The 24,685-nt window shown below is 41.4% G+C and overlaps 1 protein-coding gene across 7 annotated transcripts in view, besides 1 other annotated feature; it reads left to right on the top strand.

Annotated features, from left to right (window-relative positions):
• The window catches only part of ACVR1 (activin A receptor type 1), a 139,885-nt gene that overhangs the window by 18,890 nt on the left and 96,310 nt on the right, over positions 1 to 24,685 (top strand). The window contains exon 1 of one of the 7 annotated variants that reach the window (NM_001347667.2): positions 18,811 to 19,200. The exons of the other annotated variants lie outside the window; for them this stretch is intronic. The gene's annotated coding sequence lies outside the window, so the exon portion shown is untranslated. Of the gene's footprint in view, positions 1 to 18,810; positions 19,201 to 24,685 lie in introns of those variants that run through there. 7 annotated transcript variants of the gene reach the window in all.
• Positions 18,097 to 19,296: an enhancer, noted in NCBI's record as "MED14-independent group 3 enhancer chr2:158694657-158695856 (GRCh37/hg19 assembly coordinates)". NCBI's record gives its function as "activates an origin of replication core promoter dependent on BRD2, BRD4, P300/CBP and CDK7 cofactors, and independent of MED14, by STARR-seq in HCT116 cells {active_cell/tissue: HCT116}" and the evidence as "EXISTENCE:reporter gene assay evidence [ECO:0000049][PMID:35650434]".

Below are 24,685 nucleotides of genomic sequence, written 5' to 3'. Positions count from 1 at the left end.
GAGGAAGACGGGGGAAGGGTATCTTCTTCTTTTTTTTTTTTTCCAATTAGTTTATAATTTCCTTGAGGACGGGGACCATGTGTTCATTGTTGAGACCGTGGGTGTCGGAGATGGGTAGGAGAGCCCTTTGGTCCAAGCTTTACCACACACAAGGACTTCACATTGTCTTGACATTACCTTTGTATCACAGAGTCCCAGAAATATCCAGAATTGTGTATTTTCTTTTTCTTTCTTTTTTTCTTTGAGTCAGGGTCTTACCCTGTCACCCAGGCTGGATTGCAGTGGCACAATCATGGCTCACTGCAGCCTCAACCTCCTGGGCTCAGGTGATCCTCCCACTTCAGCCTCCTGAATAGCTGAGACTACAGTGCGTACCACCACACCTGGCTAATTTTTGTATTTTTTATAGAAGCGGGATTTCACCATGTTGCCCAGGGTGGTCTTGAACTCCTGGGCTCAAGCAATCCACCTGCCTCAGCCTCCCAAAATGCTGGGATTACAGGCGTAAACCACTGTACCTGGCCCAGGATTGTATATTTTCAACAGGATTGAAAGAAGGTAGCATGGATCATGTAACCTTGAACTTGCGTCTCAGTATCGGACCATGTAATTATCTTGAGACCAGCCCAATAGTATTGCTTGGCATGTTTTGTAAATATTTAAAACATACACAATTTTTGTCATCCTATTTTTACATTTAAAAAATATTTTTTGATACCAGAAATCATCTATAGTGGAAGCGGCCCAAACCTCTCTGGACTTCAAAGGGACCCTTCTCTGTATGTGCATGGAAGGACCTGAAAATGAACTAGCCCCTGTAACAAAGCTCAAGTCCAGTAAAGATGATGTTTTGTAACCACCACGGGGCACACCACAGGCACTCAATAAATACTTGTTAGTTTGAATTGAGGGAGGTGTTGTTTTGTGTTAAACATTCTCCACATTTATCACAATGGGCCACTGACAAGTTTTAATTTTTTGTAATGATCTTTCCCATGAGTCATTATAGATATGGCACTAGGATTTGGGGAAGGAGAATGATGAAAGAGAATACAGAACTGGGATCAGCAAGTTTTAGGACAAGAGATGAGAAGTTTTGAGTGAGTGAATAGTTGAAAGCAGGCAGGAGTTGCTCAGGGGAAACTGGAAATAGGTGGAGGCACTTTTAAGACAGCAGACCGCACGGATATGAGGATGAGATTGGAGTAATGCAGAGCTGATGATATCTTAGTGGGGGAACTGAAGGCTTTTTTCAACTTTAATTATAGCCACAGGAAAAAAGCACATTATAGCACTTTTTTTCTACCTCTACTAAGGGCTGGGAGGATATAATCTGTCTCGTAGAGTCTTGTCAAAGAATCTGTACTTCAGACTACACTGAAATGTATTTTTTTTTTTAAGTTTTTGGGGTGTCGTAGGTTGAGGAAGAGGAATAAGCATTTGATTCCTTGTGTTTACATTAAAATTTCAAGCTACTATTTCATGATGATGCGAGGAACTTTTTAGTCATTGAAGAGATTTAGGCGGATGAGTTAATGTTTGGTCATCAGAAAATGTAGCATGAGGAGCATGTTCCTCTTGGGAGGAAAAAAAAGTATGAGTCAGACAAAACATCAAGTCATTTCCCACCACTCGATGCAGCCACCCTTTTGCTGAAGGACCATTGACCCTGCAAGTATAATTCAGACAGTAATGACCACTGGCATTTGAGGCAGACTTTACAGTTTATAAAGCTCTTCCCCCAGACTTTACAGTTTATAAAGCTCTTCCCCCTCAAGACCACTCACGGTGTTGCTGACTCTTTGTATAACATTGGCACTTCTGATGAGGGGGGCACAAGTGAGTTATTCTTCTAGGGAAGGTGCTTTGATTTAAAACCTAAAAATGCCATCTGTAATTCAAATGGGACAGAGTTTTCCTTTGTGAGGACTCATCAGTTGTTCATTGACATTGGCATGGACTGTTGCCCAGTCTGGAGTACAGTGGCGCGATCTTGGCTCACAACCTCCACTTTTTGGGCTAAAGTGATCCTCCCATGTCAGCCTCCTGAATAGCTGGGACCACAGATGAAAGCCACCACGTCCGGCTAATTTTTGTGTGTGTGTGTGTGTGTGTGTATATATATATATATACACACACACACACACACACACACACACACACACACACACTTTTTTTTTTTTTTTTTAAGAGACGAGGTTTCACCATGTTGCCCAGGCTGGTCCCAAACTCCTAAGCTCAAAGCAGTCTGCCCTCCTTGGCCTCCCAAAGAGCTGAGATTACAGGCGTCAGCCACTGTGCCTGGCCAGTTCGTTGGCATTTTTGAAAAATGCTAAAAGTCAGTGTACTAGCCTGTAACATTGGGAGAGTGTAAGGTTTGTCTTATATACTTATTTTATTTTTGAGATGGTGTCTTGCTCTGTTGCCAGGCTGGAGTGCAGTGGCACGATCTTGGCTCACTGCAACCTCTGCCTCCCGGGTTCAAGCGATTCTTCTGCCTCAGCCTCCTGAGTAGCTGGGACTACAGGCATGCACCACCATGCCCAGCTAATTTTTGTATTTTTAGTGGAGTTGGGGTTTTACCATGTTGACCAGAATTGTCTCTTATCTCCTGACCTTGTGATCCACACACCTCAGCCTCCCAAAGTGCTGAGATTACAGGTGTGAGCCATCGGTCGCACCCGGCCTGAAAAAGATTCACTCTTTTTTTTTTTTTTTGAGACGGAGTCTCACTCTGTCCCCCAGGCTGGAGTGCAGTGGCACAATCTCGGCTCACTGCAAGCTCTGCCTCCCGGGTTCATGCCATTCTCCTGCCTCAGCCTCCCAAAGAGCTGGGTCTACAAGTGCCCGCCACCATGCCTGGCTAATTTTTTTGTATTTTTAGTAGAGATGGGGTTTCACCGTGTTAGCCAGGATGATCTTGATCTCCTGACCTCGTGATCCTCCCGCCTCGGCCTCCCAAAGGGCTGGGATTACAGGCGTGAGCCACTGCACCCGGCCGATACACTCTTTTTTCATTTTGGATTTGCCAGTGTGATGGCAGAACACTGTCATTGTCTTCCTCTATCTCTGTTCTTGATCTTTCAGTGATGTTTTTATGTTGTGTTCCATTTTGCTGGGTATCAAATAATCACCAAGTCTTTGTGCAAATCAAGAGAGATAACTAGCTAGAAATATGTGTGTGGAAGATAGGTATGAAATGTTAGGAAGAAAAAAATGCTTCTTTTTTTTTTTTTTTTTTACTCCTTTAGGGTCTGATTGATTCATGCTTTTTTATTTGTTGAAATTTTTTGAATACTAACTATGTGCTAGGCTCTGTGTTGATTATGTGTTGGTGACACTGAGACCAAAGGTGCTATTCCTGGCTTCAAGAGAATTCATGGCTTAGTAAAAGGAACACGTAAATCAGTGATTACAGTACAGCTTGGCAAATGCGGGTGTGCACAATGTACAGCAGTGACCCAGAGGGGGAAACTTAACCTGCGTTAGGGAGAAGGATGTAGGGAAGCTTCTGACCCTGGAAGATATTAAGTGAGGACTTGAAGAATAAGTAGAAGTTAGCCTGGTAATGTAGAGGAAGGGCATTTTAGCATAGGGAAACTTCATTGTAAAGATAGAAGGCATAAGAAGAGCATAGTACCAGCTGGGAATGCAGGTAGTTTAGTTGAACTGTAGCTTAGGGTGCCTGTGGGAATTGATGTGACATAAGGCTGGAGAGGTGGGTAATGGCTATGTCATGAAGACTACTTATTGCTTCCTAAACAATTCAGGTCTTATCCTGAAATATGCTAGCTATTGGATTTTAGGGAGGAAAAGGATCAGATTAGATTTGGATTTTGGAACGGTTATGAGCAGCAGCTTTAAGAAGGTTCTTTTTCAATGGTGTCTATTCATCTGAGCTTTAGACTGAATTTTGTCCTTCCCAATTGATGTGCTGAAACCCTGACCCTCAGTGTGATGCTATTTGGAGATGAGGTCTTTGGGAGGTAATTAGCTTTAGGTGAGGTCATGAAGGCGGGACCTTCCTGATGGGATTAGTCAGCTTGTAAGAAGAGATATCAGAGAACTTGCTATCTCTTTCCACATGAGGACACAGCAAGAAGGCTGCCCCTGTTAGCCAGGAAGAGGACCCTCACTAGAACCTGACACTAGGCATCCTGATCTTGGACTTCTAGCCTCTAGAACTGTGGGAAAGTAAATTTCTGTTTAAGCCACCCAATCTATGATGTTTTATTATGGCAGCCTGAGTAGACTAATACAATCTATTTATTTTTTGGGTAATTGTGAAACTAGGAACAGGAAGGATATTATAGTAATTCAAGTAAGTAGCAATAATTTGGCTACTCTATTTTGATTTAAAAATATTTGGGCATGGAACAAGTCGTTATTTAACTGAACTTCTAGTTTTGAGATCTTATTGTTAGGATATTACTAGCTACAATAAGTTTTATGAGAGAATTTTCTCCCTTGAACATCTCCACATCCTACCTTTTATTAAAGTAATCCACTGATGCCCTTTACTATAGAGGCTTTGGGTCTTTTCATTGTTTTCCGGTCAGCAGGTTGGTACAGCTGAACTCTCAGTACCTAGTGCCTGAGTGTTAAATCTGTTCGACAGCCCTCTGCTTTATCTAATTTTGATACTATGACATTTATATTGTTTTAAAGGAATCTTCTGTGGATGGTTTTAGGAGTTCTGTGGGAATTAATACCATTTAGAGGATCATATAACTATGGCAGATGATGTTTGTGATAAAATTGGTACCTATCTTGTGTATGTTTGAATAACTATTTAAAATAATATTTTTCATAGTTTTGTTTTTATGTCTGAAGATCTGTCTTCAACATTTTATGCAGCACTTAACTTGTGCCTGATATTTGAGTCTAGTTTCCCTTTCTTTTTCCAAGGTCTTGCTCTTTTTTTTTTCTTTTTTTTTTTTTTGAGACAGGCTCTCGCTCTGTCATCCAGGCTGTATAGTACAGTGGCATGACCTCTGTTCACTGCAGTCTCCACCTCCCTAGTTCAAGCAGTTCTCCCACATCAGCCTCCCTATAGCTGGGACCACAGCCATGCACCACCATGCCCAGCTAATTTTTGTATTTTTTATAGAGATGGGGTTTTGCCATGTTGCCCAGGCTGGTCTGGAATTTCTGAGCTCAAGCGATCCACCCGCCTCGGCCTCCCAAAGTGCTGGGATTACAGGTGTGAGCCACTGCACCTGGCCTATTCTTTATTTTTTTCAACTCTGTTCTTTCTCCCCAATTCTCTCTAATTTGTCCTCTTTATTGGCCTTTTCTCTTGAGTTTGGAAATAGGCTTAAGTATTCTGTCCTTTAAAGTGTTTTGATGCCTATACCTCTCATAAGCCCCTTCCTGAGGAAGCATTTTAAAAAATGAATCCACATTCAATGCTCTTGCCTCTTCAGCCTGTAGTCTTCTTCAGAACATAATAATCTTACATTGCTCCCATGTATTACATGTTTCGGAAGTGCCTACCAAATGCCAGGACTGGGCGGGTGGGGTGGGGGTGGTGTGTGTGTGTGTGTGTGTGTGTGTGTGTGTGTGTGTGTGTGTGTGTGTGTGTTTCTCTGTCTCCCTCTCAGGAGTCCTCTTTTTAGTGGTAGGGTCACAAGATTGGGAAGAGTTATTTAGCCCATCTCTCCATTACCTGCAGTTGCTCTGCATTTTACCCTCTGAGTGAATCCTCAGCCTTCACTGAAATTCTACAAAGTTAGGGGATGCGATATCTACTAGGAGCCCACTCTGCCTTTGGAGTAATCTGACTGACAGAGGGTTTTTTGGCCTATAATAAATGTAGCTTCTATTTATCCTTTGATCACAGTTCTTTTCAGCTATACAGAATATAGAGTATAATAGTATTTTTATGTGATTAGAGCTGTCATATTCACCCCTAATATCTTTTTTCTAAGAATGTCTCCATAGCTTCCACTGGTCGTCACCATCCTGCCTGCCTTGTTGCTCATACTTCTGTTTGATTGAGTCTTTAAAAATTGGTTTCTAGAGCTGATTGCAATATTCCTGACTGGGTTTTCTCTCCTGATTTTTTGACTTCCATGCTTGTATTATGCAGCTCAAACTGCTATATTTCAGGTGGCCACTTGGTTTTACTTGAAGAGTTGATCACCCACAGAAATCTCAGTTTTTTTCCATAGATGGTACTGCTAGGTCCTGTCTTCCTCAACCTCTCCTTGTCTGCTTATACCCTTGTCTTTTATTCTCTTTACTGCATATGGGATCTTAAATTTACCTTAAGTTAACTTTCCGTTTGCTAGGTCCTGCCCATAGCAGTTTGCATTGGATTCCATTTCTATCATTTTAGGGAAGATATGGGTTTTTTGAAATAGCACCCTTTGAATGTAGTAACTTAACAGATCTGTCTAATCTGTTAAGATAGATCTGTTAAGTTAAGATGGATCTGTTAAGTTAACAGATCTGCTAAGCTAACTTTTCTTTGTTTTTTTTGGAGACACAGTCTTACTCTGTTGCCCAGACTGGAGTGCAGTGGCGCGATCTCGACTCATTACAACCTCCGCCTCCCAGGTTCAAGCAATTCTCCTGTTTCAGCCTCCTGCGTAGCTGGGATTACAGATGTGCACCACCACACCCAGCTAACTTTTGTATTTTTAGTAGAGACGGGGTTTCACCGTGTTGGCCAGGCTGGTCTCAAACCCTTGACCTCAAGTGATCCGCCTGCCTTGGCCTCCCAAAGTGCTGAGATTACAGGTGTGAGGCACTGCCCCTGTCCAAGTAAACTTCTTTTTCTTTTTATCTTTTGACTTTTTATTTATCTTGATCACAAATATTTCATAAGAGATGTTGTCAAGTCTAGATGTATATGTTCCCTTGAACTGCCAGCTTAGGAATCTTAACGAGAAAAGGAAACTGGGTTAATCTTGTATGATTTGTTCTTACTATTAGGGTTTGCAGGGATTACTACTTTCTAAGTGTTTAAAATACATTCTCAAGTCTTGCCTGGGACTTGGTCTGAGTCTATGTAGTCTGTTGGCATTTTTCCCTCTTTTTTTTTTTTTGAGACTGAGTCTTTTCTGTCGCCCAGGCTGGAGTACATTGGCACGATCTCAGCTCACTGCAACCTCTGCCTACCGGGTTCAAATGATTCTCCTGCCTCAGCCTCCCGAGTAGTTTGGACTACAGGTGTGCACCACCACACCTAGCTAAGTTTTGTATTTTTAATAGAGACAGGGTTTTGCCATGTTGACCAGGCTAGTCTCAAACTCCAGACTTCAAGTGATCTGCCCACCTCAGCCTCCTAAAGTGCTGGGATTACAGGCATGAGCCACCGCACCCGGCCTTCTCATTTTAATTTTTCTGAAGCATCTAGTGATTACTTGTTCCTTTCTGACTTCATTCTTTGCTGACCTCTTTTCTCCAAGTTTTGGAATTTTCTGAGGTTGCTTTTCTTCTCTTTTTCAATCGCATCTTTTAAGATTCTCTATGCTTGCATTGTCCAGTAAGGTAGCTACTAGCCACAGTCAACATAGAAATGTTACTGGTTTAAAGAATCTGCTGATTTCAAGTTGAAAGCCAGAACAGGAAACACTGACACCTGGGTAGGAGGTTAAGGTTGACTATTCCAGGAATGGAGAGAGGAGCAGGAAAGTGGCCACAATTTAACTAGTTACACTTGCTTGTTGGCTGTTGCCAGGTTATCCGTGTATGTTCCTGGCCCCTGTCTCCTGCTAACAATGAGTCATTATTGCAAATAAAGTAAATATTAATAAATCTATGTGTAGAATATTTTTAATAAAAGCCTATGTGTAGTGTGCCAAAAGATAATGAGGTTTGGAAGCAAAGTAAGTTCTTAAATTGACAGTTTCGATGCGTGATTCTGTGTAGTACTGCTAAACTTGCTAGCTTATTCAAATACTATACAATAATGTTTGTAGGCATTTCCTAGTGTTTGGATATTTTCTGTAAGCTACAGTTTTGATATATACTACTATACTTCACATTTTTTATTAAACAGTTTAAAAAGTTTATAATAGTGAATGAACACTATTGGAAGTATTTAAAAAATAATTTATAATTTCAGAAATTCCAATTTTTTCCCTGCAAATTTTGAAGATTGATATTGATAGAGAGTTTGAAACAATAGTACATAGTGCTTGTCCAACGAACTGTTTGTTTCTTTTGATAATGTGATAGGTACAGAAATTAAGATAGTGTTTAGAGACTGTTATGGTAATTTGACATTGCCATCAGTACCTGTGATCAGTGGATTCAACCCATTGAACAAGGAGTTTTACAAAAGTATTGGTCCATTACAGATAGTAATTTAGTTGTATAAGTACTGGTCTAGGTGAGAGGTAGTGATTTCTTGGACCAGACTTGAAAGTATGAGAAGAGATTGGTTGGAATCAGGATATACTTTGAAGACAGAGCCAATGGGATTTGCTACTAGATTAGATGACAGATTATTCTAGATTATCTTTCCCTCTAAACTGCTTCATTTGTAAAATGTGTGTAGTTATGACAGCAACACTCATTTTTGTTGTAGCTTCGTCAGCTGTTTCTTTGAGCTTGCTGGAAATCCCTCATGTTCATTGCTGCTAATAATCATCTTTCTAATCCAATCATGTAATTCCCTTGACTTTCAACCATCAACTGCTCACCATTATATAGATACAAGAAATATTAAACTGCTTAGGTTGACTTTTAAGATATGAGGTGCGACTTCTTTCAGACTCTTTTCCATGTCCTCTTTTGCTCCTGACAATAGCCCAACTAGACTGCCTGCTGGTCCAGTCAATCTCTTTCTGCATAATAAATTATCCCAAACTTGATGGCATAAAACGACAACCATTTTATTGTGCTCACAGTTTAGTGAGTCAGGGATTTGGAACATGCACAGCAAGGACAGCTTGTCTCTGTTCCACAATGTCTGGGGCCTCAGCTGGGAATTCTTGAAGGTTGGGGGCTGGAATCATCCAAAGGCTCATTCACTCGCATGTCTGGCGGTTGATGCTGGCTGTTGGCTGGGAGCTCAGCTGGGGCTGTCAGCTGAAACACCTACATGTGGTCTCTCTGCATGGGCTATTTTGAGCTTCCTCATAGCATGGCGGCTGGGTTCCAAGAGCAAGTGTCTCAAAAGACAGGAAGTGGAAGCTTCCAGTTTCTTAAGATCTGGTTCTGGAAGCTGTTACAGTGTCACTTCCACCATATTCTGTTGGTCAAGCTGTCACAGAGCCCCGTTAAAGAGAAGGAGATATAGATCCCACCTCTTGATGAGAAGAGAGCCAAAGAATTTGGGGGCCATTTTTAAACAATCAAAGCTATACTTCATTCAGATTTCCTTAGTTTTCCCCAGTGTCCTTTTTCAGTTACAGGATCTCACCCAGGTTACATTACATTGAGTTGTTATGTCCCCTAGGGTTCCTCTTGGCTGTGATAGTTTCTCAAACTCTCCTTGTTGTTGAACACCATGACAGTTTTAAGAATGCAGCTCTGGTATTTTATAGAATGGGGTGGTGGGGGGATATTTTTAAATGGCCACATCCTACTATTCACCAGACTTCTCTGTCTTTCTGAGTCTCTCTGTCAGCTGCTCTCTGTCTCCACTCCTCGCCCCCTCCCCAGTTCAAACTCCATCTCTTTCTCCATGCAGTCTTTGTCATGTCTCATCCTCTGGCTAAAATCAGTTTTTCTCTCTTCTGTGTTCCCATAGTATTACTGTTTGTAATTCTTGTGTGGTTATTTTTCAGTGTTTTTCTTTCTTGGTAGATTATAAACTCTTTGAAGGTAAGAACCATGTCTTGCTTACCTTTGCATATCTCATAGCAGGTAGGTTTTTTGAACGGAACATTCAATATCAAACTGAGTCTCACATCTGACACCCAGATGGGTTGGGACTTAACAGTGGTTAAATAGAAAATATAATGAGAAAATTTAAAACATTCCTTAAAAACATCGTTTCTGATGTTGTATTTTAAGGCTTTTAAAATGGACTCTCTGTTGTAGAGTAAAACTTCTAATTTTTTTCTCCCTTAGCCATAAAATTAAAAGAGAGTAGCTTTTTTTGATATTATCAACATCTTCCTGCTCAGGTCAATCTCTGATAGGCATGTCCTAGTGTTTTTTTGTGAACTTTAGATCTCAGTCCATTACTGGATCAGTTTAGGGAGTCACACCCAAGACTAGAAATAAAAGGAAATTGAAGTTTTGAATAAAGCTTGTGAATTGCAAGGGTAATAATTGTTTCGTTAAATTTGTGTTTCAGTTTTATATGCATGTGTATAATAAGTTCAAATGTAAAATAGGTATTAAAATTTTTTGAAAGATACTCTCCTGTGCAACATCATTCTAAACTGTTGATGTTCTGGTTCATTTCTTTGGCTTTTTCTGTTTTAGCTTATTTCTTCTGGTTTCCTTTCTGAGGGCTTATATACATACATATCGATTCTGGGGACCATGCACACATGTTCCTTTAATCTTTACCTATCCAGCCTCTTTTTATAATAGAGGAATATAACTGCTATTCTCAGTTTCCTAGAATAGCACATGTTATGTTTTCTCTTCTCCTTTGGAGACTTTATACCTACTCTCCTGCCCTCGAGGCCAGGAGGTGGAATTAGCTTATTCTTTTCTTTTTTCTTTTATGTGTTTATTGAAGTATAGAATCTATACAGTGAAGTGTACAAATCTAAAGTATACAGCTCAATAATTTTTTGCATTTGTATTTATCCCTATAAGTATCATTGCAGATGAAGATGTAGAAACAATTTCATCCATCCAGAGGAGGTCAGTTTATTCTTAAATTGTTTCTGGAACAAGGTGGTGGTGTGAGTAAATTAGTAGATTCTCTCTGATTCCTTCATATGGCATATGTAGGTTATAATGTTTAGTTCTGAAGGTCGCAAAGGTCTGAAGCATCTGAGTTAGGAAGTGTTAAAACAGGGAGATGGGATGTTGAATGTGAGCTTTGGCAGAATTAAATGGGATGAGCTTGAGTGAGCCAAGGGGAAAAGCAAAGAGGAGTCATTTCATGAAGAATTCAGGAGAAGCAAGGTTTATTTGAATTTCAGAAGGGAAAACATTAAACTCAGTTTGCCACTGCTGCTGTAACAAATCATGACAAATTTAGTATCTTGAAACAGCACAAATTTACTTTCTTCCAGTTTTGGAGGCTCTTGGGAGAATCCACTTCCTTTGGCTTGTGGCTCTTCCTCCATCTTCAAAGCACATTCTTTCCATCTCTGTTTCCATCGTCTCACTGCCTTCTCCTCTGTGAAGTTAAATCTCCTTGTCTCTTTCTTAAAAGGACATTTGTGATTATATTTAGGGCCTACCCGGATAATCCAGGATAATCGCCTCATCTCAAAACTCTTAATTTAATCACATCTGCAAAGTCCCTTTGTCACATAAGATAACATTCACAGGTTCTGGGGATTAGGGCATGGATACTTGGTTTTGTTTTTCAAGGATCTTTCTTCATAAAGGGAAGGTCTGCTATATATTTCCTGCTAGTTTATTCTCCTTTTTAATGCTAGATTAATTTTTCTAAAACAGCACATTGTACATTTTATTTCTTTGCTGAAACATCTTTGGTGACTCCCCATTGGCTAATACAGTTAATAGGGCCTAGACTGACATTCAGATGGCTATTGAACCCCAAGTCACATTTCAAGTTTTTCTCCTCCTCTTTCATCATGGATGCAGCAGCATGCATTTTCTCATTGTTGCCTCCATGACCGGCTTGTCTTTGCTTGCTCTGACTTTTCCTCCTGCCTGTGGGGCCCTTTCAGGCCTTCCCAGCAGCATTCCCCTCACCATCTGTATTAGCTTCCTAGGGCTGCCATAAGAAATTACCACAAACAACAGCAATGTAACTGCCAAAGTTGTGGAGGCCTGAGGTCTGAAATCAGGGTGCCAGTAGAGTTATGCTCTAACTGATGGCTTTAGGGGAGACTCTTTCCTAGCTCCTTTCAGCTTCTGGTGTCTCCAGGTGTTTCCTGGTTTGTGGCAGCATGACTCCAATGTGTACCTTCATCTTCACATGACCTTCTCTCTGTGCCTCTCCATGCGTCTCTCATAAAGATGCTTGTCATTGGAGTTAAGTACCACCTACAGAATCCAGGATGATCTCATCTCAAGATTCTTAAGTTATTTACATTTGCAAAGACCCTTTTCCCAAATAAGGTCACACTCACAGGTTCCAAGGTTAGAACGCAGACAAATTGATTGGCAGGCTACTGTTCAACCCACTACACTACCTCAGTCAGCAGTCATAACTTATTTCTGTGACCTCTTGACATGACTGGCATGCCTACACAACTTATTGGGACCCCATCATCTCTATCTTACTATTTTTGGATAATTCTCACCTCTTTCACTAAATCATAAGTCCTTGTCTTAGTCCATTTGTACTGCTGTAACTAAATCCCTTAGTCTGGGTAATTTATAAACAATAGACACTTATTGCTTACAGTTCTGGAGGTTCAAAGATAAAGGTGTGGGCAGGATTTGGTGTCTGGTGAGGGCTCACTCTGCTTCAAAGATGGCACCTTCTTGCTGTGTTCTCACATGGTGGAAGGGGGGGCCCAGGGAGCTCTTTTTTTATAAGAGCATGAATCTCCCTAATGACTTAATCACGCACCAAAGGCTCCCCCCCTCTTAATACTATCTCATTGGGTATTAGGTTCCAATGTATGAATTCTTGTGGGGACACCAACATTCAGACCACAGCAGCTCTTGAGGTCAAAAGGGTTTCTTTTGCTCTGAAACCCTCAATTCCTAGCAGGGTCCTAGCTCTGTGGTGCTTCAGAAACAGCATCTATCAGATGATCAATTTTTTTATTTTTAAATAAAATGAAAAGTGTCAAGTAAAAATCCTGGTGTGATTATCAGAATTTTAACTTGAAATATCACAGGAGATTTTTCTCATCCCAAGTTTTTTTTGTTTGTTTGTTAATTTCTGGTACTGTACTTTTGGTGTGGAGTAACTAACCACTTTTGATTCCCTGGAACCTTAAGTGAGTAGGCAGCAGAGCTGATGGTGGAGTAGCCAAGCTGAGAAAGGCCTCTGGAGGGAAGAGCAAACCCAGTGGGGACAGGGTGGGTTTGGAGATCTGCCAGATACAGCTTGGAAGTCTTGGGGGCAGAGCTGTCACTGTTACTTGGGAATTTGTCTTACCTGGGCTCTTGGCAGTCTTCATCTTCACTGGAATCCTTTCCAGTGGGTTTTACAAACCTGGAAGACACTCTTGTGAGCACTTGAACTTGATCTCCCACAGCACAGTTGGAGGGCCATGCCGAGGGCGGCCCCCAGCCTTGCTTTCCATAAGGAGATGATGGTTTCACAATGTCTTCTGCATGACAGGGCCTCCTTTGCCTGCCCTGTAAGCACAGCTGCTCTTTGAAGCTTACCAGTGAGCATGGGTCTTAGGCTGTTTTCCCAATTATTCTCTTTTCTTTATTTGGCTTAATTTCAAGATTATCTGCGAATAGCTCCTTTTTTCTTTTTCGTCTTTGAATGGATGCTGGCAGTCTAACCCCATTAAAGTTTAAGTACTGCTCTCATGTTTTTTGTATTAAGCATTTGAAGGTGACTGATTTTCAGCCTTTGGTATGTTCAGGCTCATATTCAATGGTTATCTTCATTTAGAGTTTTACTATATCCATGAATCCTAATATAACTGCTCAGGTCTGTGCAACATAACCATTATTTACAGTGCCAGTATTCTATTGCAGGGTTGGCCTAGAAGGTACATGTTAATCCTTTCCCATGATATCATGGGAGAAAAGAAAGGCTGGAAAAGAATCCAGAGACTGTGACATAATGGGTAAGAATGGCCTATGGTGTCAGGCAAGTGTGGGTTTGAATCTCATTCTGTCACATCCCAGCTTTGTGACATTAAGGAAGTTACTTTTCCTCTCTGAGCTTCAGTTTTATCACCTGTGTAATGGAGATGATAATTGCTATTATGTCATTATGTGTGTTGGGAGGATTAAGTGTGGTAATATGGATGCAAATCTCCGTCACAGTGGTGTCTGGTACCTTGGAAGTGTTCAAAAAACTGTGGCTGCTATTATTACTCATTTTTTAGGGAAAACCAAGGCACTAGTGATAATTATGGAATGTTTCCAAGTCACCCACAGTAAAAGTCTAACTTGTGGGATTTAGAAAACAGACTATTAGTGTGTTGAGTAATGCAGTATTGAATATGTCAGTTACTGCAGTCTGGCTCTATGGTATTTATTTGGTTAGTTTGCAGAAAGATAGACAAATGACATGAATAAAAGCACACTTACTGACTTTCTTACTGATCTGAAGCATTTATCATGCTAGCTGTGTAAAGCTATACTTCCTCTAAGTTCAAGGCCTCTACCTCCAAATTCAATGGGAGGATAGAATTTAGAGTATGGTTTAATTATTAGTGTTAAATTTGTATTCTTAAGAATAATTTTGTGACTGTTAAAGTCTGAGAGGTTTATTCTGTATCACATGGCTTTTATAATAGAGATGTGATTAAATACACTGTTCTTTGTACTAGGAAACCTGGAATCTGTACACTGCCTCGCTGGTTTTCAGATCAAAGAAAAAAAATCATAGTAGATGAACCTTAGAACAGTCCCCTGCCCAGAGTTAATATTTTAGATTAAAATTACATTCCTTAAATTCCTCTGTGTAGCAGATTATTTCTGAAATTTTCAGGGGGTGGGGGAAGCAGGAACATAAAATGCTAGAAATTGAGTAAATTGCATCATCTTTGAACCTTAAATATTGATGTTGTAACTGGATGTTGAAGACTTTGCCAGAGTTCATTGATTCATGAGTTGAAGAGTTCCTTATGCAGGGTCGTGTGTTCATACTTGGAGGAAATCTTCTAAGATTTGGAGTCTGACAGCGGGAGATACAGGGCTGGATGCATGAAAGAACTTCCATGTGGAGTTTTCTGCCTGAATGTAAACTCTGAGGGCAGGAACTTGATTGCATTTGATGTCATACCTCCAGTGCCTAAATCAGTGCCTGGCTCATTGTAGGTGCTCAGTACCTCCTGGCCAAAGGCATGAATGAATATGGGAAGGAAAGGCAGTGAACTTGCTGCAGTTCAGAACGCTTTCTGTACTCTGTACTTTATGCAGTTTATTTCTGGCTTGGCCTTTGTTAAGGGTCAGGAAGTTGGTTGGAAGAGAGATCCATCCACATGTTAGAACATCAGCTGTGTGCCAGCACTGTGCCAGTCCTGGAGATGATATGGTATAAAGACCTTTTCCAAGGTCTTCTTCAGTATTGGACTGTTGGGGGTTCTACTTTTTCTTTTGACAGTGATTGTAACAAGGGATGTTTCCCTAGAATGACTCCCCCTAAAGTAGCAGAGTGATCCCTGAGTTCAGGGGATTGGATTAATTGTTAATTTTTTTTTTTTTTTTTTTGAGATGGAGTCTCTCTGTGTCGCCCAGGCTGGAGTGCAGTGGCACGATCTGGGCTCACTGCAAGCTCTGCCTCCCGGGTTCATGCCATTCTCCTGCCTCACCCTCCCAAGTAGCTGACCCTACAGGCGCCTGCCACAACGCCCAGCTAATTTTTTAAAAATATTTTTCATACAGATGGGGTTTCACTGTGTTAGCCAGGATGATCTCGATCTCCTGACCTCATGATCTGCCTGCCTTGGCCTCCCAAAGTGCTGGGATTACAGGTGTTAGCCACCGTGCCCTGCCAATTTTCTTTTTTTATAAAGAGATGGGGTCTTGCCATGTTGTCCAGGCTGGAATGCAGTGGCTATTCACAGGCAAGATCATGGTACACTATAGCCTCCAACCTTGAACTTTTGGGCTCAAGCAATCCTTTTGCCTTAGCCTTCCTAATAGCTGGCTCTACAAGTGTGTGCTGCTGCACCCAGCTCTGGGTGGATCTTTAACTGTAAGTTTAAGTAAGTCCTGACAATTTTGTTTCATTTTATTGTCCCTGAGAAGCAGCTAGGTAAATGCGGTCGTTAAAATACATGTCTAAGCAGTCTTAGTGGCCTTCTTGGTCTTCCTTTGCTCCTCCCAAGTTAGAAGTCAGGGCAAGTCTTCCCCCCTGCTTCATCCTATCCCCTTATAACTTCAGATAAAATAATGACTATAAGGATTTGAAATCCCTGTGATTGTCGAAGGAGAAGGGTTGAGAGTGAGTGGGTCTTATTTTCCTCCCTACCTTCCTATGTCAATTTTGAGCCTGTGTATTCTATAGTTTTTTTTTCTCAGCATCAAACTGAAATCTTATTTATATCTTTTTCAACTTTAATATCCCCACTTTTTGATCTTTGGGGATTAGAAGCCAAGTATGGACAAGAGGAGAGTGGCCAGGGCATTGAGTAAGCATGTATGTACATTTCATAATTTTTGCCATACCTGGTAGGTTGTGCTGAATTTCTTGGGCAAAAGGCCTGAAGTTCTGTTACCACCAGGGGAACAGGAATTGTGGTTGCCGTCGGGATCACAGCCAGGAGGCTATTTATAGTCTGTAGTGAGTGGCTGTGAGCCCACCATGGTTCTGAATATGCCTCCTGCCTTAAAGTTCCCAGTGTTCTTGAAGCGGACCCTGCCCTTGCTGGCCAGACAGTAGTTAATGATAAAGTGGACGGCTGCAGGATGTGGCGCGTGATCGCCTTGGCGGCTCACAGCCTGCAGGTGCTTGTGCTTTGGCTGACCTGAACCCAGCCGGAGAGCAGGTGCTCCCTGCCCCCATGCTGGCTTCCTGGCCTTTTTCTCAGCTGGCTTCACTGACATGGAGCTGATGGACCACTCGCTAACCAGAGTCCACTTTCTTTATTCCACATGTGCCATGTCAGGTTAAGATTTATAACAGGTCATGAATTTAGCTTCCTCATCTCTCTGAGTTCAGGTCAAATATCTAGATTTGCCTTGCAAAAATGGCCAAGATCAGGTGACACTTTGCACTTTTAGCTCACATTAAGGTATATGGACTAGAAGGAAAAGGTGAAAAAGTAAGTTCTCACAAGAAATAACCAAGAAAGGAAAACTTTTTTCTTGCTTTCATAGCAATGTATGATATGCGTATTTATGTTGATTCCTGGATGCTCTAATGGTGGAGTGATAATTTATGCGTTCGTTTGCGTTTGCAGGTGATGGAAAACTCCAACCCAGGCGAGCCTTAATAAGATGAACATGGAATGGCTGCCATTCTGTGGAGTCCAGGGTAAAACAGGTTTTAGATCTGGGTTGACTCAGGGCTCAAGCAGTGTCCCTAGAGCCCTGTTATTTCCCCTCCACTTCTTCTTTTGTCAGTTCCATCCTCAGCAGGTTCTCTTTTCAAGGTAGCAAAATGGCTATGGCATATCCTACATTCAAGTATAATGAGAAAATCACACTTTCTTTTCTAGTAGTTCCTGTAAAATCCCAAGAGTCACTCTGATTGGGTGGGCTCAGGTCACGTCACACCCTGGAATCCAGTGCAGTGTGATGATTGGTTTTCAACCACACCTCAGCATGCAGAATAGGAGGGGGTGTATCCCAGACCCAGTTCAGGAGTTGTTGCCGAGAAGGAGAGAGGGAGGAACTGAGGAAGCATAGAGTTTCTGCAGAATGATTCCATGAAGCACATATTGGGGACTTTCATTCTCATAAAAAGAGCACTGTTCTTGGGACCTCATACAGTGTTGCTTGGTTCTCAAAAAGTACTAAGTTCTTGTGTGGTTTCTGGGTAAGTCTGGCATCCCCCAGAAGCAGGGAGCCAGTGATTTTCCTGATGCCCTTGGGATGTTCACTGCATGGTATCAGATTACAGTAGGTCATAATGGATGCCATGCCTGGTAGTTGTGTGGTGTGACATTAGATCAATTAGCTTTCCCTGTACGCCATTACATCAAAGAGTGTCGCTGGACAGCTATTCTCAACATATGTTTTGTTTGTCTCTGAAAACACGTGTTCCATTTCTCCCTGGGCCATTCAGATTCATTTTGGGTGACTGTCTTGTCAGCCTGGGGCTGGGGAGAGGGGAGGACAGGCTTCATTTTGGCAGTGCTTCAAGCTTGGAGCAGCATCCTGCAGCCAGCACCATAAGCTGTATAATTTGTCCATGGAGGCCTATGCATTATAGAAATGAAAATTCCTTATCTGACAGCATTCATTGCTTAGCATGCAGCAATTTGGCTGTCAGAAACAGCTGGCCCTGCAGGGTGGGACAATAGAAAGGCGAGACCCGAGAGAGGCCAGTGCTTACTCAAGACTCCCACTGTGAGAGGATCAGGTTACTGAGACTGTCATTAACAACAGACTGCAAGGGGCTCTGGGCACAGCTTCCAGTGAGCAGGAGCCTGTGGCTCAGACAGTGAGTGATTTTCCCCTGTTTTGCTGAATGGAACAAAAATAAATAAATTAAAAATAAACCATTAACCTTTGCTGACACTCAGATGTTCAGTTCTGATTTTGTCTTCTACTGGGTGATGAGCATTTCTGGGGAAGTAAGTCCCTTCTAACCTAAGTATAGTTATTGGTGCATTGCAGAAAACTCAAAAAGGAGTGGGGCTGAGGGGCAGGATGGATTGCTTGACACCTGCATGTTGGAGGGCTGTAATTTTTAGGTTCTACTTACCTAGAAACAATGCTGAAAGGACCAGGATTGGAGACCTTATGAGGCAGGTTTAAACATGAAGTAGAAATGGGGTTGTGCGTTCTCCCCAGATGTACATACTTGGAAGAGCCATGCAGCAAGCAGAGGAGAGGAACAGAGGAGCTGTGTGGCTTGACCCTCCTCGGAATCTGCAGTGTGGCTGGCTCTGTGTGCTTCCTGTATTGATTCCATGACTCACGGAGCATGAGCTAAGCAGAAAGCACACTTAAACTACAGAGGAGACAGCTGTCTGTTACAGAAGGACATATTTTCTGGGTTTAATGGCGCCACATTTTTCCTAATAGTTTGTACACTGGGGATGTACTTACTAGTAATGTCTGCTAAAGGGTCTTTATTGTTTTTTCCTTTTTGAATAAAAAAGACATTCTTTAAAAAAATCACCTAAATATTATTCTTGACTTTTATTTCACAACAGGACTTCCCTTCTAGGAAAACAGTACCAATAAGCAACTTGTCACTATGGGTTGTTTTTTTTTCCCCCACCTCTTGATAGCAAGGGTCTATCGGAAGTTTAAAGCAATGCAGCGGGAAGTACCTTGCCTTTTTGAAGCGAATAGCGTTTCAGAGATATTGGGCGGCTCAAGGTTAGTTCTCCTGTTGGAATTCGTTTGTTGTTCAGTGCGACTGGAACTGTACTTTCTCCTGCTCTCCCTCTAAATCTGTTTCGCTTTTACATGATAGAGGCTGAAGTTCCCAGATGTTGTTTGGATTAAAGAGTGTGTGTGGGGAGGGGGGGAAAAGCTTTCTTGATGATAATAACAGAGTCAGACTGGCTGGTTCTGTACTGACAGGAAAATGGAGAGATAAAAACTCCATTAATGGTGTGTGCATTGCCTAAGTAGCCAATAAAACAATGCTGTCCTCACTGGAAGCCGGTCCCAGACTGGCAACGCTTCGTGCCAACTGCAGGAGACAACAGCTGCAAAGAGGGGCAGAGAATTCGAGTCAAGAGTCCACGTTCAATGACTGGCTTGCGGGGCAGTTCTTTTGTTCTCTACCTCCTCCTCTCCTCCTCCTCCTCCTTCTCCTCCTACTTTTGCCCATTTTCCTTGATGAGCCCCTCTTAATGCTCACTGTTCCAGAAATTGAACCACATCTGATTAAAACTTAATGGTTACTCACAGAATGAAGTTGGCTGGTAGTTTCCAAGCCTGTTTGTCTGGGTTGCTTTGAGTGTGTGACAATAGAAATTGTTATTTTGAATAAAATGTATCTGAGGGTTACAGTCCTTAAACTTTGACAGAACAGTCACTTATCACAGATGTACCGCTCTATTTTCCCTCAAATATCTTTAAATTTCCGTGCTCGAAATTAAATTAAAAAATTTAAAAGTTTTTTTTAAAAAAGCATCTCATTTTAGAAGATAATGGAAAATGGTAAAGGCTTGCCTTAGTCAGCTTTCATTCTATATGTACTTCCTGAACCCGTTCTCTGAGTGAAGCTCTCTTCTGTGACTGTGGGCCAGGTAAGGCTGTGCTCAGACGAGACCTGACTTTGGGAACTTACTGCCTCATGGTCAGGTAAATCCTTCGATCTCCAAAGGGAAAGAAAGACATGCTGTTTGAGTGATTTAGAAAAGCATCCCTGTAAATTCAAAAGAGAGATGAGCTGATTACCTAGCTCTGCCTCTGTTACATGTGAGTGTAAAATTTAAATTACTTTGACTTTTATTCATTACTATACATGGGGAAGGGAAAAGATATTTGAGTGTTTATCTTTGTGCCACATCCTGTGCTATGAACTTTATGTATATTAGGAAGTAGGTATCTGTAGCCTCATTTTACAGGCGAGAGAAACGTAAATCTTAAGGAGCTCATTTACTCAAGGCTGCAAAGTCTGTTCTTCCTGTTCATGGGTGCAGATGTAATGAAGCACATGATATGAACCAATTCATCTGGTATTTATTCCACCTAATTACAGTAGATATCCAGAAGAGGAGATGGAGTGTTCTTTATCTAGGCCCTTCAGAATGCTGGTGTTGTGGGGTAAGGGCACACATTACTTTTAAATTCTGGAAGCCTTATAAATCCTGGAAGGCTTCACAGAGGAGGAGAGACATTCCTTTATCTTGCAGCACACCCCCTTGAGTGTGCTCACTGTGTCAGGCACCCCGGTAGGGACTGGGGACTCAGTGCTAAAGAGGACAAAGTCCTTCTGCTGTCAGAAGGTGGTGATGATTTCCTGGTTGGGAAAGCCATGGGAAGGGAGAACAAGGGTGGGTATCCAAGCACCCTGGAGGAGATGAATCTTGAGTAAAGTACCTGGCGAAGAGCTCAGCTGGGAGTGACGCTTGTCCTGGTTTCCTTCCTGAAATGGAGGACTTTGTGTGCAGATATAAGGTGGTGGATAAAATGTGTAGGGAGGAGCAATAAGGAATGCTTTTAGGTACAACCTGTGTTTCCTTTTTGGAAACCCCATGTAGATTGTGAGCTGTCTCAAGGTTCCTGGCTGCGGACTTCTCACTCTCAGGCCACACCAAGTGGCCAGTGGCCACAGTATCTCAAGCCTGGTTTCTTCTCTCATCACTAAAGATGGCAAAGTAAGGTCACGGGCAAACCTTGTTCTTACAGATAAAGCCTTTATGTTAGGCATTTCCAAAAAAGTATTTGCCTCTTCTGACACAGTTTTAATTTACACAGCAAAGTAGAGAGCCTGCTCTGAGGAAATACGACTCCCCATGATGAATATTAGATATTGAATGGCCTTTAACATGTCATGCATGCATTACTGTGCCAGCTTGTCTTTTTCTAAATGTCAGGTCGTCACTGTTAATTTTATATGTTTAAAAGATTTGGGTGAATTCCAGGTATAACACTTTGGTTTTCATTTTTACATTTCATAGTAGTTGAAAGGCTCCATGGTATTCTTGATAGATGCTTGTCTGCGTCCATATTGATGAAGAACAGTAGAGTATATTAAATTAAAGGGTTGTTGGCTGGTTGTTTGGCAGTGACTTGCTTTCTGTTTTCTGTTCACTAGAGGATGCTTGGAGGATGTAATCTGCATACTGGTTATCAATGTGAAGGTTTCCCTTTGTTCTGTCAGTAAACCCTACTGGTTAACAGATCCTTGTTTTCAACCACTGGTTTTCAGCCCTACTGTGGGGCAGAGCTACACTGCAGTGCATTGTGAGTATTGCTAAGTAATTTATTATTCATTATTGAGGTAAAGAAATTTTGACATACGTTGGAGCTGATTCAGCACAATACTCTCCCATGTGTTCCATTATGTCTTTCAGAGTGAGAAAAAAATGGAACTCAAAGACAAGTCAAAGAACTGTATGTTTTAGTTAGTAAAATATACTATTAAGAAAAAGAAAAAGTGTTAAGGAAAGAAATGAGTATCACAAAAGTCAGCATTATGGTTATAAGAGCATCAATAATATTAATAACTTACCCTTTAATGGTGCTTATATCATGTTCTGTTGTGAGTGCTTTACATATATTAACTCATTTAATTCTTAGGATAATTCTGTGAGGCAGGTATAATTTTTAATTGAAATTTTTCAGATGAAGGGAATGAGGCACATTAAGTTAGCTCCTGAGGCCTTAAAGATAGCGCATGGCAGGACCGCAGTTCTAACTGGCTCAGTTCTGGGTTTTAACCACAGTGTAGGGGAGGAAGGGGGCATAGTGGTTGAGGACACATGGGATGTGGTGGGATGTGGAGTGCTGGCAGTTTCCTAAAAAGGAAACATCAGGACCCTTACTAAAGGTTTTAGTTGCATTTTTAGTCTATATGGATTGTTTTAGTCCATTTGGGCTACTGTGACAAAATTCCAGAGGCTGTGTAGCTTATAAAGACCCGACGTTTATTTTACACAGTTCTGGAGGCTGGGCAGCTCAAGATCAAAGCACTGGCAGATTCAGTGTCTGGCGAGGGCTTCTTAGGTCATAGTTGGCATCTTCTTGCTCTGTCTTCACATGGTGGAAGGGATAAGGTAGCTATCTGGGGTCTCTCTTATAAGGGGACTAAATCCACAGGGGCACTCATCCCACGAGGCCCTGCTTTCATGATTTAATCACCTCCGAAAGCCTCACTTCCTAATGTCATCCCATTGGTGATTAGGTTACAACATATGAATTTGAGAGGATACAAACATTTAGACCATAGCATGGATTGAATAGATATAGTCATATACTATATGTTTTTATATATGTATATATGAATATATTTATTTATTTGATATACATCTGCATGAATTCATACTGTATTTGAGAAATGGCAGTATAAATGGCACATATGTGTGTGATATATATAGCTCTCTATTCTTGCTGTCTGATGTATTCATACAATAAACCCCACAGTTGGGACCTACGCATCTACCTCTAGAGAAAGAGCATATTCACATATGGAAGCTTTTTTCAACCCTGGAATGCCCCTACTTCTGTGTAGCATTCACATTTATTTGCCTCTTAAAAAAAAATTACCAGGCTGGGCATGGTGGGTCACGCCTATAATCCTAGCACTTTGGGAGGCCGAGGCAGGCAGATCACCTGAGGTCAGGAGATCGAGACCATCCTGGCTAACACGGTGAAACCCCGTCTCTGCTAAAAACACAAAAAATTAGCTGGGCATGGTGGCACGCACCTGTAATCCCAGCTACTCAGGAGGCTGAGGCAGGAGAATCGCTTGAATTCGGGAGGCAGAGGTTGCAGTGAGCCGAGGTCACGCCACTGCACTCCAGCCTGGGCGACAGGTGATTTTAAATTTAATCCAAAATTATATTTAAAAGAAAATAGCTTCTAGACATGTATGTGACCTGCCCTTTGTATGAACAAAGTATTATTAAAAAACTGGAAGGATACCTCATGGTTGTGTTAAACCAGTCTAAATTTGGTTAGAAGTTCTAAGAGACTCAGTTGAATTCATGCTAGTATGTGTTGTCTTAAGCCTGAGTGCACAGCAGTGCTGGCAGAACCAACAAAAGTGCTGCACATGAAACAACTAAAATGGATTTTTAAAAAAGCTGTTATCTAAGAGTTACCTCCACCAATACTTAACGCATTCAAAATTAAAACTAACAGGAGCTAGCCTTTTCCTTCCTGACAGTGTTAGAAAATAAGCCATTCTAAAACTTACAGAAGATTATCATTTCCCTCTTGGATTTAGAAAGTAAAAAAAAAAAACAAAATCAGGTAGACAAATGTTTATGAAATGGACTAAGGTTTAGTGACCTGAAACTCGTTGAATTTTTCTTGTAATTGTTGACAGTGTGAATGGTAAACAGAGACAATTGCTAACGTTTTATTTCCTTTTTATATGTGTGTTGTACTTTCATGTCCCATCATATTGAAGCAATCCTGAAAGTATTAACTGTTTCTTACCATGTCTCTCTCAGTGATACTCAACTCCCAGCTGCTCATTTGAGTCACCTGGAGAGTTGGGACAATGGCCATCCTCCATTTCCACCAGAGAGCACTCTTAGGCACTTTTAATGTACAGCCAAGGGTGAGAACAACTGAGCTCATTTAGTCCTTTAACCCTGGGGTTTTGGGTAATGCTTGTCTGCCCTTCCTCTTCAGTCCACAGAGCTCAAGTATATGCTGGACATCAGGATATACAAAGATACAGGAAGCCAACCTGTGCAGTATGGAGACAGTTTGTTAACTTACTGGTCTCTGGAGGAACTTCTGAGAGAATTCAGCTGGCTGTAGTATCACCTCTACCTGAGGAAGGATAGGGCTGACAATTTGCTAGTCTCTAGCTCTTCTTGAATTGCTTTTGAAGGGTAGAAATGTGTGACAAAAGGCTTATATATGTGTGGGTTTATACACACATATTCCTTTCATTGTTGCTTGGATAAATAGAGCACATTTTAAATGAGAATGGTGTTAAAATGGCTATGAAGAATTAATTTCACATTAGAAATTCTGGCCCAAATTCTGGGAATTTGGGTTATTGATAAATATAGATTGTATTAATTGTCGGGTAAGTTGCTTCTTAAGAGTTGCAATATCACAAATGATCAAAAAGCTGATGTTTCAACCTGTGCTTATGTAAATTAATCACAGGTGTGGAATCTTGAGGCTTGTGAAGAAAAGACTCCTAACAGTCAAATTCAGGCAT

Source organism: Homo sapiens, chromosome 2, assembly GCF_000001405.40.
Source record: "Homo sapiens chromosome 2, GRCh38.p14 Primary Assembly".
NCBI lineage: Eukaryota > Metazoa > Chordata > Mammalia > Primates > Hominidae > Homo > Homo sapiens.
Note: the sequence above shows the minus strand (reverse complement) of the source record. Positions and strands in the feature narration are given on the sequence as shown.